At 38.2% G+C, this 14,287-nt stretch overlaps 1 protein-coding gene across 2 annotated transcripts in view; it reads left to right on the forward strand.

Annotated features, from left to right (window-relative positions):
• PLCB1 (phospholipase C beta 1) overlaps positions 1-14,287 on the forward strand; it is a 752,635-nt gene that overhangs the window by 6,966 nt on the left and 731,382 nt on the right. For both annotated transcript variants that reach the window (NM_182734.3, NM_015192.4), the window contains exon 2: positions 11,063-11,140. In NM_182734.3, coding sequence (NP_877398.1) covers positions 11,063-11,140 — 78 coding nt within the window. The remainder of the gene's footprint in view (positions 1-11,062; positions 11,141-14,287) is intronic.

The following is a 14,287-nucleotide window of genomic DNA, read 5'->3' on the forward strand; positions in this document are numbered from 1 at the left end:
ACATGCCACCATGCCCAGCTAATTTATTTTTATTTTTATTTTTAGTAGAGACGGGGGTTTTGCCATGTTGGCCAGGCTGGTCTGGAACTCCTGACCTCGGGTAATCTGCCCACCTCGGCCTCCCAAAGTGCTAGGATTACAGGTGTGAGCCACCGCACCCGGCCTTCAAGGGCTTTTTTTGTTTACAATATTTGGTTAATGTTCTGTTTCTTTTTACTGAATTGACGTTTAATGTACAAGATCACAGAAAGTGGATTAGTTAGTAAAGAAAACATTTACCTGAAGTAGTCACATGGATATCAATATATAGCATTGATATCTAGAAGATTAAGATATTATTTTGCCATTAAAAAAAACATTTTTTTTGGAAGTTGTCTATGAAATAGTTAAGAGTAAGGGAAATTTAATTTAATTTTAATCCATTTTATAGAAGAAGCCATACAAGCTCATGAAGCTGGAAAACCATAGAGCGAATCAGCAATTGATCTGGTCAAAAAATGTTAAAGATGCCAATCATGATCCTCCCCAGGTGTGCTGTGTTGGATATGGTTGAATCTCACATAGCATCGATTCCTACATCCTCTTAGTAGGACTTCTTATAATACAAAATCTGGACTTCTAAAGCTACATTTACCAGACTCCTTTTTGACGAACATTCTTCTTGAAAATTAATATTTCCACCAAATAAATTCATGCATATGAGATATGGAGGGCAGAAACATTAAAGGGGCCAATTTCCTGCATCCTTTGGGTTGTTTCTACAGATACGTGAGAAGCTAAAAGAGGTGGGACTTTCTGTAATAGTTCTTCAGTGTCTCTGAGAGGCAGTGGTGACAGTGGCCACTCCCTGTTGGCAGCTTACACTTCTTTGGCTTCAACAAAGCTGGTGTTTTGTTTGGACCCCGGGAGTTCCTTCTTGATTTCTCACCTTTCTGAATGTGGTAGATACAATAGCTCTCCCCAAGGGTCTGTGCTGCTATGTTCTGAGATCATTCATGGAGAGCCAACCTAAAGCCTGCTCCTCCAACCCTTCCAGTTTTTCTGTCAAGTGCTTACTTTATATTAAGTCCCTTTATCTTCAAAATTCAAGAGAAATTTCTGTTTCTCGCACCAAATCCTGGCTGATATGGCCTTTTGCGGTTCTAGGATTTCACAGCTTTCAGTCCTAAATATAATAATCATCTAAGTATCCTACATAGTTTTCTCCTTCAGTACTACTGTTGAGTAAAATGAAGTTTTGCTGTAATATTTCCTCTGGAATTCAAAATCCAGACTAAGTCCTAATAGCAGGCATTCATGCTTATATAGCAGCCCTGCTTACCCCTGTTCAGTCATTAAGACCACCTCGGGTGGTAGGAAAAAGAGCAAGCGTTTGTCTTTTGCATTTCACGTAGAAGCAAATCGAGGCTAGTGATTGTGATTTGTCGAAGGGCACATAACTAAGTAGATCTGGAATAGGAATTTAAAACTACGTCTTCTGGCCAAATTCAGTGTCCTTTCCAGTCTACCATGATGTCCCCGAACAGGGTCCTTTTAGTAACAACAACAACAACAAAAAACTTTTTATTTTTTTATTTTTTTTTTTAGACGGAGTTTTGCTCTTTTTGCCCAGGCTGGAGTGCAATGGCGCAATCTCGGCTCACCGCAACCTCTGCCTCCCCGGTTCAAGCGATTTTCCTGCCTCAGCCTCCTGAGTAGCTGAGATTACAGGCTTGTGCCACCACGCACAGCTAATTTTGTAGTTTTAGTAGAGATAGGGTTTCTCCATGTTGGTCAGGCTGGTCTCAAACTCCTGATGTCATGATCCACCCGCCTCAGCCTCCCAAAGTGCTGGGATTATAGATGTGAGCCACCGAACGTGGCCAACAAAAAGCTTTTAATAGAGTCTAAATGAATACAAGTTTGAAGAGATTGATAGACTTTTCCAAAGAATCTCTGTTATTTTTAGGATTCATACATATGAAGCTTAGATCCCTGCAAACTCAGTTTTTGAGCTATTGTCTTCAAAATAGCTCTTTTTCATGGTGTATGTACAGTCCGTTTTTGTCTACACTGTGCAAGATGTGTGAGCATTGGAAAACCTCATTGCTGCTTTGAGACAAAAAGGGCAGGCCAGCCGCAGTGGCTCACGCCTGTAATCCCAGCATATTGGGAAGCCAAGGCAGGTGGATCACTTGAGGTCAGGAGTTCAAGACCAGCCTGGCCAATATGATGAAACCCCGTCTCTACTAGAATACAAAAATTAGCTGGGTGTGGTGGTGCACACCTGTAATCCCGACCACTCGAGAGGCTGAGGCAGAAGAATCACTTAAACCCAGGAGGCAGGCAGAGGTTTCAGTGAGCCAAGATCGCGCCACTGCATTCCAGCCTGGGCGACAGAGCGATACTCCGAAAAAAAAAAAAAAAAAAAGGAGGGGGCAATGTATGCTCTATAGTCTTTAAAGATATTCTACATCAGTCAGTCAGCGTGGAAACATGCATGTGGAAAGACAGGTATTCAGGTATGGTGTTAAAGGTCTTTTTTTCATTGTCGAGTAAGTGACATTTCTGCATTCAGCAAGACTCTTTATATCTGTTACTCCACCTTTTCTTCTTCTCGACATACGTGTAAATGTTGTCTTTTGCTGATTCCTATTTAGGCTTGTCCCATGGCCTCTCATAGAAATCATGGACCATGGAAGAACAAGAATATGGTAGACATGAAGGAAATGTAGAGGGTGAGTTGCCTGCTCTCAAGCACGATGCAGAATGCAAGACAGTGTCAACTGAGAGGCCAGATCTATATTACTTGTGCAGGGAGGTAGATAGGCCTTGTTTATATTACAACTAGAGCAGGACTTCTGGAGGGCTATAGCTTTATAATTATCATTATTATTTTTTTCCCTAGGGGAGAGCATAGGCCTGGCACTGGGAGGTGCTGATGCTCAGGGGATATTTGTGGAATGAAGGAACTGTCTGGTGTTTGTCTGGCTCACAGTGGGTTCACACAGGGGAGTGTGCAGCCTTGAGGCAGACCTGGAGGGCAGTCATGCTCCTATGAGACCTTCGTGACCTTTGAGGTGTTGTGTTACATTGGTTGGAACACCTTGCTCCTTGTCCTTCCATTCCATCTGAAATCTCCTAGGGTCCTAAGGGACTCTGTGACCTTCTTAAATGGGATTTCTCCATGTGTGTTTGAGAAGGAAACTATTTATTGGCAATGCAGAGCTCACTGCTGTTACAGTGCTGATTTCATTTAAGGTCCAAATATGTCTTAAGATTGAGTGTATACTACACTGCAATTCAATATTGGTTGAAGGTGATGATGCTTAATGTATTTATTTCTCATATTCTAAATTTTACCATTAGTTCCTATTTTCTGAAAAATATGCTCACCCATACACCCAAATATTGCAATGAAAAGCCCTTAAAGAAATTCAGAAGCGTTGGGAGTGACAGAACAAAAGATGCATGGTTGTGAAAACATCCTATCACGATAATGATTCACAAAGAGAAAAAAGAATACTTGTGCTTTATTGCTAAAGTGAGAAAAGTAACAAGACATAGTTCTAAATCTGATTTATAATGAACTTCCACCTACACTATTCTTTGTGTACAGAGGCAATGGAAGTCCCTGGAACAATGCTTTTAATTTCCTCCTTTCTCCACTCCTCGTTTAATGTACTTGGGCCACCTCCATTATTCCAGCTGCCCTCCTGCCCCTGAGAAATACCTCACCTTCTGCATTTATATTTTGGAGCTCGACCTTCCTGGCATCTCTGAATCCTGACTTCATTATTATCTGACACCACTCCCCTTTCTTTTAACAGTGTCTATATGAGTTTCCCCTCAGTTGAAGCTTTCCTAAGAACATAGCAATATGCCTTTACTAGTAAAAATCCCAACCTCAAAACCAACACAATGTTCCCCAGTCCCTTTTCCTCCTTTAGTTACCGTCTTCTTCTTCATCTCCTTCCCTCTACTATGCAAGTGTAACTTATAGTCACTGTCTCCCTGTCCTTACCTCCTACCTACTTCTTCTCAGCCTTCCAAAGTCTTTTTCTGCCCTCACCACTACTTTGAAATTTCTTTATCATGGCTGTGGGCAACATGGCTCCCAGCAACCCCAACTGATGTTTTTCAGAATCTTCCTTGTTTTTATTTGCTGCAGTACCTTCCACCCCTTCATCCATTCATTCACCAGTCATACTTTAAAAATGTACTGATGTCTCTTTTAAGCATTGTGCTAGTGTTGTGGATTGATGATGATTAATGATTTCATGCCTGCCCTTATTGCGGAGACAGATGCTAAGCAAATAGAGGTACAATTATTTTCATTATAACTGCTATGAAGGAAAAAAAGTACAAGTGAGTATAGGAAGCATGGAAGGTTTCCCTGGAAAATTCTATTTATGACAAGTGGGATTTAGGCCAGCATGAGTAGAAGAATGTGTCAGGTGGAGGGAACAGCAGGTGTGGGTATTCCAAAGAGCCAAGGAACACAAGATTTTGAAGGAGAGAAGCAGAATTAGCACAGGAGAGTGTGGCTCAGATAATGTGGTTGGATGGCAAGGGCCTGCATATATACTGCGTAGGTCCTTGCAGGATTTTAGACGTATAAAGTCAACCAGAAACCATTAAAACCATGTTTTCAACCCTGGCACCATTGACATTTGGTCCCAGTAGTTTTTTGTTGTGGAGTCTGGCCTGTGTATTATACGATATTTAGCAGTATCCCTCGCTCTAGATACTGGGTGTCAGTTGCAAAGCCTCCCAGTAGTGACAACCAAAATTGTCTCCAGACATAGCCAAAAGTCCCCTGGGGTGCAAAATTGCTCCCAGTTGAGAACCACTGATGAAAATGATAAATGATATACTATGCTTTTAAAAGTATCCGGCCAGTTCACTGCCCTCCCCGCCACCCCAAAGGCCAATAAGTACATGAAAAGATGTTTAACATCATTAGTCATTGGAGAAATGCAAATTAAAAAACACATTGAGGTGCCACTGCATACCCACCAGAGCTATATGTTACTGAAATTATTGGTTTTTCTCATCTGATGCCCCCACTAAGCCAGGAGCACCTCGGTTGATTTGGGATCTGGGCTTTAATTTGGTTCTCTCGTGGATTATCTGAAGGATCTTGCACGACACTTGAAGAACAATTCTTCCAACATTTCCCTACATTGTGTTAAAAGGGATTTTTCTGCTTGTTCTGTAGGAAGCCAGTATCTTCACATTGCTTCTCTCCACTGTTTTGCACCCTCTACTCTGGACCTTCTTCATCTCTTCTGCTTTTCTTTATTTTGGGAAATTTCAGAGTAGAGACACTCCTGGAGGAAAAGTCTCATCAATGCTGATACACGTGGATGTTTTACTCCAATGATCTTAATTCCTCACCTGGCATCCAAGACTACGTTTATAATGTTTTCATTTCATAGTCAGGGCTGTATTGCTCATGTTTAGTTTGACAAGCATCACATCTGATTTTCTGTGACCCTTAGAACTCTTTGCCCGTTGCATAGCTGTTTTCCCCCCAGTGTCTCTATTTGCTGTATTTGGCCCTGCTGCTTCCTGATGCAAGTCTTGGGCAATCCCTGTGGAACATCGCTTGTTACTTTTCCTGTTGACTCTGTGGTATCGATTAGTTTAGACGTGCATGCCTCTATTCATGTGTGTTCTCTTGTAATACCATAAAAACATGAGAATCGCTGTGGAGTGAGAATTGTGGTCAACCTTGGCCAGGAGACTTTCTGACAGTGGTGCTGAGGAATGTGCCATGGGTCTGTGGACTGGCCCTTGACATGAGCCTTGAGGTTTAGGGTTATGCTTTGTAGTAGTTTACTAAGACTTCCATAGCAAAGGACCATAGCCTGGGTGGATTACACAACGGAAATTTATTTTCTCACAGTTTGGGAGGAAGTGGGAGATAAAGGTGTCAGCAGGGTTGCTTCCTGCTGAGGGCCGTGAGGGAAGGATGTGTGCCAGGCCTCTCGTCTTGGCTGGTAGATGGCCTGCTTCTCCCTGCATCTTCACATCATTTTCCTTCTGTACATGCCTGTGTCCAGATGTTCTCTTCTTATAAGGACACCAGTCATACTGGATTAGGGCCCACTCTAAGGCCTCCTTTTAACTTAATCATATCTGTAAAGACCCTATCTCTAAATAAGATCACACTTTGAGGTACTGGGGATTAGGACTTCAACATGTGAGTTGTTGGGGAGGAGGCCACGATAAACCTGGTGACATACCTCCGCCTGGTAAAGCGTAGCTCAGAGGGTAGCAACATGACAGCTCTAGTTAGATATTGAAGAACTGACACTTAGAGAAGAAGTTAGATTTATTTTGTACTATTTAAATGTTAAAAATTAAATGGTAGCTGCATATGTGGATAAAACCATAAACTGCCTTGCTGGAATTGTGTGACAAGAGCACTGAGATTGCTTTGTGAGAAATCTCCCTGTTAAAGAGTGTCCCTGTGAAGGTTTGGAGTTGCCCTGCCTAACAGAAATATAGCGTGAGCCACACAGGACACTTGTAAATGTTCTAGTAGCCTCATTAAAACAAGTAAAAAAGAAACAGATGGAATTAATACGAATACTATATTTAATTTAATCCACTGTAGGCATTTTGACATGTAATCAATGTCAGAAATCATTAGTGAGCTATTTTCTATTCCTGTTTCCATTCTTAGTCTTTGAAATCTTGCAGCACATCTTAGTCTCAGCAGTCGCATTTCAAGTGCTCAGTAGTCACAAGGGAGCCACAGCAGCTCCTGTACTGGACAGCACCAGTATAGGGCATCCATTCTCAACAGGGGCCATGTCGCTTCCAAGGAAACGAAAAGTGGTTTTGGGGAACAAAAGAAATCTTCTTACTGTTTTTGTTTTTTTTGTTTTTTTTTTTTTTGGTATAAGGCACAGTTATACATACAGCATATAAACAGATATTCAGCCTATCTGCAATATTGAAGTGTCATGGGGGATGATTAGAAAAATAAAAACCTAAAAAGCCTCCCTTGCAGGGCAATAATGGAAAAAGTTGAGAAGCACTGTTATAGAGTGCGTACTTGAAGGTTTAATTTCCAGTGCTTCCCATACCAGCTTAACTGGCTTTCCTTGAGGAAGTCACTTAGCCCAAGCCTTGGTCTAGGTATCTGTAAAATGGGAATAATAATAGTGTCTACCTCTTAAGTTATTGTAAGTATTAAAGGAGAAAAGCCACGTGAAGTTCACCACAGTGATTGGCTCAGAGCAAATGTTGAGAATGTATCAGTTACTATTCAGTCAGGGATTTTTATAAAAAGGTATACTGGTATTAGAAGTGAGTTTGGATTAGTGGTGCCTTTGTCATTTCGTCTCAGTTTCTTTAGTATTTATTATTGACTTATATCAGTGCATTGATGAGCAAATCATTGTAATGTTAATGTTGATTCCAGTGACTCTTTTTTTTCTTGCTGAATTGTTTCTCATTCTTCAGGATTTCGAGGTTTTGTTAAGGTCTTTTGCTTTGCCCCTTGATTGTTTTTGATTTGGCTTAAAGACTCTTTAGAGATTCATGTAAATTACTAAATAACATCTTCTTAATTACTATATTAATCTTCACTATTTATGATATAGGAATGACAGTAAAACGTATTATATCAAATAAAGAGCAGCAAGTAGAAATTTACTGAACATTATCTGCTATTACTAACTTAAGACAAGTATGTTTATTGGTTTTCTTTTTTACAGACAAACATTTATCAGAAAAAATACAACTTTAAGTAAATTAGAGTTGAATTCTTAGAAGCAATATACTCACAAGATATGGTTTGCCTGCATTCTAAGGTCACAGGTGTTCTTGGAGGTAAACATCATCCTATTCCTGACCCAAAGCCTCACCTATTGTAGGCCTACATCCGTGGTTTTGTAAGTGTGGCCCCTGGACCAACAGCATCAGCATCACCATGAGCTTCTTAGAAGTCCAGATTTTCAGACTCCGTCCCAGAGCTACTAAATGAGGGACTCTGGAGAAAGAGCCCAGCAATCTGTGTTTTTACAAGATCTCTCAGTGAACTTGATGCATAGGCAAGTTTAAAAACCACAATCTTATGAAATACACACATGTTATAGATGTTGATGGAGAGGTAAAGGATTAAAATATAGACCATCTGAGAGCTGTCTTCATCATTCTACAGTCAAAGGTCCCAAGAGTCGCAACCCATCTGCAGCTCCTTTGTCAATGAAGGATGGTCATATATTTCAAGTTTCAAACCTGGGTATATGTTCTGACAATTAAGAATATTTGGGATCTGGGTTGAGTGGCTACTTTGGTATGGGGAGAATATAGATACTAGCAGCTATGTGGGAGGTGGGAAAACAAGCAGGTGGAATTGAAAATAGACATTCATATATTTCTGGGTCAGATCCTACTTTGCATGGCAAGAATGCCAAGTTCCAGCTGATCTTGGAATGTTAGAGGTGATTATGAAGGAAGCGGGCAGGGAGCCGAGATAAATGATCACTTAACAGAGGAACTGTGGCCGGAAGAGTGGGGTCAAGAAAACATTGAACAAAGAAGGGTTAATTTTGAAGGAGGGGAAGGAATAAGCTAGAAATGGAAGTATCTGAAACAAACTAGGCAGCATAGAACAGTGTTCCTAAATATAAATTTTGAAAAGTTTTTTTTTTTTTTTTTTGAGACGGCGTCTCGCTCTGTCACCCAGGCTGGAGTGCAGTGGTGCGATCTCAGCTCACTGCAAGCTCTGCCTCCCGGGTTCATGCCATTCTCCTGCCTCAGCCTCCTTTAGAAGTTTTATTCTGCTCACTTAAATATTTGATTGTATGGGATCCTTGCAGGGAATCGCCACCAAGATTTTGATTAGAATTTTGTCAGATGCTCTGATAAGAAAAGAAACTGACCTGAAAAAGATAAGTTACACCTACAGTTTATTCTAAAGTCCTCTAGAAGTGGGAATGTGTGCTGTGTGCAGCCTGTCAAAACTTTTATTTTGGCAACTTCTAGAAGTAACAAAACAGGACTGAAAATATTGCTATGATTTATTGGAAACATTGGTGTGAGCTGTTATGCATGCAATCTCATGAAAGAAGCCTAAACTATTTTAAAAATTAGTCTTTCATTATAATATCGTTTATTTCCAAATGTCTTTTTTTGACATTTAGAAGTAATTGGGAAATTTTAAAATTCTAGCTGAAGTTCCTTGCAACAGCACGGTCCTTGTAAAAGATATTTTTCAAACTGCATGTTAAGGATGTATATATGGAATATCAGCATAAAACAGAATGGCAGTTCCTCAAAAAATGAAACATAGTACTATCATATGATCCAGTAATTCCACTTCTGGGTATATACTGAAACCAAGGACTCAGATAGATATTTGTGCCCCTATGTTCATAACAGCATTATTCACAATAGCCAAAAGGTGGAAACAACCTAGATATTCATCAGTGGATGAATGGATAAACAAGACATGGCATATACATAAATGGAACATTATTCAGCTTTAAACAGGAAGGAGATATGACACATGCTCCATGAATGAAGTTTTAGGACTTTATGCCAAATAAAATAAGCCAAACACAAAAGGACAAATATTATACAATTTTACTTATATAACTACTTAGAATACTCCAATTATTTAATTACCTGGAGTAGTCAAATTCATGGATACAGAGAGTAAGACTGGTGGTTGCCAGGTTATAGGGGCAAGAGGGAATGAGGAGTTAGTGTTTAATGCATGTGGCATTTCAATTTGGGAAGATTTAAAGTTCTAAAGATGGATGGTGCTGATGGCAGCACAGCAAGGTGAATGCATGTAATACCACTGAAAGGCATATTAGAAAAGAGTAAATGTTATGTTCTGTATATTTTACTGCAGTAACACAGAATATCCTGATAAACTTACATTTAGTATTTTGATACATCTGTTTTTAATTATAATCCACTATAATAATAATGAACATTTTTATGTGGCAAACATGCCCAGATGCTTTACCCCAAATTATCCTAGCTATTTCTCACAGCAACCTTCTGAGTTAGGTATTATGATTATTCCCTTCTTTTTTCAGTTGTGTAAAGCTATGCACTGAGATGGGACAGGCAGGAATTTGAACCCAGAGAACATTTTCCAGAACCAGGCTCTTACAATAAAACTTAATATGTAGATTAAAATCATTCATACTGCTCTGCCCATTAGGAAGAAAAAAGTCCCAAATGCCAAAATTATCTCTGCAAGTTCTAATTTTCATTACAAGTTCTTTTAATAAGCTAGATGATATGACACACTATGGTTATGTGTATGAAAAAATTGAAAAAACTGGCAATTTATGTCTCTCTAAAAAATGCAATTCCTGCAAAGGCCTGAGTGTTTCAGTATAAAAATCCATATCCAGTGGCATGTATTTTCTTGTGCAGATGGTATGTCTTTCTGAAAATTGCTAAGAGAAAAGAACACATATTTTAGAAATGTTTAATATTATAATTACAATGTATCCAAGTTTTGCTTTATACTATGCATGCTTTAAACTCAGAAGACTATTTACCTATGATGTTTTATTTTAGCATGTAAAATTGAAATTTGCAACAAGTTTGTATATATCTTTCTGAATATGTAGAAGATGGCCTTATTTACTGTTACCTTGGAAACAGTGATGCTCAAATACTATGTTTTACTCTATTACAATTAAAAATCATTTTATGGAACAAATGTAATTTAAAATACTATTCTTAAGCATGGATTTTAGTTAATATTAATCATAAAAATAAGTAATGATGTTTAGTGTTAAAATTATTTGAAAAGCTAAATATAGATTTTTAATAGAAAACATACCTTAATCAATAAATCATAATGCTTTTTCCTTTACAAGTTATGTATAAGTCTTCTGATTATTAGGAAAGAACCTCAGTTACATAATGGATAATTCCATGAAGTTAAAAATGCCATGTCTAATTTCTTTTGAAATTTTTCTTAATAATTGACTACTTTGGAGAATCTGTACAATTATTACTTCTTAAATAACTCCTGGATAGATTTTTCTACAGTGATATATGTTGATATTCATGTTTCTTCTTACATTTCTAGGACTCAACTATTGTTACTCCAATTATTTTGAGGACTGACCCTCAGGGATTTTTCTTTTACTGGACAGATCAAAACAAGGTAAGAAATGAGGTATGCCTTTCTTACATTTTTCAGTCGTTTACTACTTTGAAAAGTATTTATGTATCTTATCTATAGAAGAACATCCATTTCACAGATCTTTTGCAGTTTATTTAAAGGTTCTACTTTTAAAGAATATCTAAGGTATTCTTAGGACTTAGGACGTTTCAAAGTCACTAGTTTGAAATATTAGATTTGCTAAATTCTAGAGCAATTGGTATTTTTGGTTCTGTTTATATTATGTGTTAGGATAAGAACAGGGAAATTTGAATTACATTTGGTGTAGCACATAATTAGTCAGCGTTACTGATTTAAGTCCCCACCCATAAAGGATGAAGAAAAATGATGAGAAAATAACTTTTGACCCAATAGCCTTACCCCTTGGCTTTTCTTTCTCTCTCTTTTCCCCTGTGCTGTTCATTAAGGACTCTCTCAGAATCAGCAGGAATTTGGCCCTGATAATTTGTTGATGTCAGAAAACCAAGAATAAAATTCCTTTAGCCTATTCCTTCAGTTGTCAGGAATTTCTTACTAAATTAGCTTTCTGCCCACAATAGCATGAATTTATTATCTCATTTGTTATGAAGCCAATTGATGATTCTGTACTGAATTATTAAAAAGTAGAATATCTGCTGATCATAAGATTTATTTGGAGTTTAATGGGCAGTTAGATGAGAACACTCATGGAAAGTGGTTATTATTTCAAGCATCGTTGCCACAGTCCTACACTTGAACCTCAGAGGCCACAGAATATAGAATGTTTTTGTTCTCTAAGTTTTGATATATGGAGAAATGGGATAGGGTTTACTGAGAATGCTAAATACATACTGAAAACAATAGAATAGTAATAGTATACCATTAAAACAGCTGGAACCTCCACAGTTACGGATGAAGGAGGAACAAATTGTTAGCTCTTTCAAAACTCTACATTAGTTTCTTATATCCAAAGTTCCTGGAGTTGCCTGTCAGCTTTGCCTTCTGTCTCTGAGGCAAGCTCAATTATACCTGTGTCTGGTCCCAGGGCCACTCCTGAATGAGCCTGTTTACACATCATTCAAAAGGTGAATTTCAGTCTTGTTGTCCTGGAATTAGACTCTAAATCAGTGTGCCCTGGAACCATGTGTGGCTGTAGAAGTGGAGGTAAACCACAGACCCTACGCTAATGTCAAAAATTGTATGAGTAAGATTTCCTACTTAACGCTCACATTTATTATTGGGTGTGTTAATCGCTTTGGCTTAGACATTCTGTTTGGTTTCCTGCTGTTATGTGTAAAACAATGGCTTGCAAGAGGTTTTGTTTTTTGGGTGTTTTTTTCTTCTCCTAAAGGATATTTTTAGAACTGTTGAAACTATATTCATGAACGATGTACTTATAATGCCTAGAGCATTTCTAAACGTTGGGTATTTGTACGAGAGACCAAACTGTCAGTTTGATTTTTCAACTTGTAGATCAAGCTTCTATAAAAGCAACAGAAGATATTCTGGGATTTTTAAATAATTCATGGCAACTCAGTTAAGCTCCCCTCTAGACCAATCATCAATATTTATTTCCTTAATAAAGAAAAAGGGTTTAGGACCAAAGGCTCTTTGTTGCATTTCTGTTGTGAACCCAGTATTTTGACCCATGCTTATTTTCAAAGGTAGGAAAATTTGTTTTCATTTTTTACACAAACTTTTAAATCTTGGTTGCAATGCTGTTTATGACCAAGCGAAACAGATAATGTGGTAGCAATTCCTTTTATCATGTTATTGCTTTTCTTTTCATGGATATTACTCTTACAGTTCTAGCCAAGAGATAGAAATAGTAAATTTTACTTTTCACTTTCTAAATGCCAAAGTCATCTCTCAGTCATTTATCAGAATTTGGAGGCTCATTTCTTAGTGATCATATATCTTAGAATCCAAAAGATGAGAGGATTTAAGAAAAAAAAATTAAACTTACCATGCTTTCAAGTTTGTCATTTTCTTTCTGGCTTGAAGCCCAGCCCTGGAACCAGTAAGAGTGATTCATCCACTTTTAGGAGATGGACGACTCCAAGTGATGAATTAGAGTAAATGTGTGCTAGAAGAAATGGTGCATGCAAATAAAAGATGGCATGCCAAGCTTTTAGTGGGGATTTTTTTGCATAAGATCATTTGAAGGTACATGAATGAATGGTACATTCATGATGCTACTTAGAGGGCCACTTTTTAAAAAATATTTTTTATCTGGCAATTAGTTTTAGGAATCTGCCACATGTACCATAGAGATAATCTCTCAGAAAACAAAAAAAAAATGTGATACCTTTAAGTTTATCCCTTGATTTTATACACTGTGTTTTCCATTGGTTGGGAAGCTTGCATTGGTATTTATTGTAATATGCCTCTCTTCTTCCTTTGGGCTTCTTCCAATATATTCCCTCTTTGGTCCACGAAGCTTATACCAAAGCACTTGGATTAGCAATCATCTGAGGCCTAGTCTGCTCAGAGGTGAGCAGAAATCCCTAGCAGAGGGGATTTTACAAGTGTTTTTTATTTTTCTTTTTTATAGCATTGGAGGTAAATGGCCACATTTTATGATGTTCTATGCATGTCCGTCTCTTGTCATGGCTACATCAGATCTTGTATCAGAGCCACTTATTTCAAGCCACTGGCTTTCCCCTCTGTAGACAATGACATGCTACCTTCCAAAACCCCTCCTTTGATTTGTCACCACAGAAATGATAGGTGACAAAGAAGACAGCACAGATGATGAATTTAGGAATTAAAAACTAAAGCTAGCGAGTCATTTTTAGGTAGCAGAAATGTGCTTTAGTGAAACACTGACAGGATGTTTGGAGTTGGTGGAAGCAGATAAATATGAATATCATTTTTAGGGATAAATGTTCATGCTTTGTACCAGCTCTGGACTTATTTTAATAATTCTTTTCACTGTATTGTTGGCTCTGTAAATCTTATTGAATAAAATGAGCAAAAATGAGTTTCTGAATATGACTATTTTAAGCAGAGTGGTTTTTCTTGTGTAAGTGTAGGTGATGTGAAGAGGATGAATTTATCTGTAAGTCATGGGTGAGAAGGGAGTCCTGCACAGCCTGAGTACTTGAGAGGTGGCCTACATTAGGCTATAACTTTTCTTTGGATCCGTGCCATGTGAACACTAGAAACCAA

This window comes from Homo sapiens, chromosome 20 (genome assembly GCF_000001405.40).
Source record: "Homo sapiens chromosome 20, GRCh38.p14 Primary Assembly".
Classification (NCBI taxonomy): domain Eukaryota; kingdom Metazoa; phylum Chordata; class Mammalia; order Primates; family Hominidae; genus Homo; species Homo sapiens.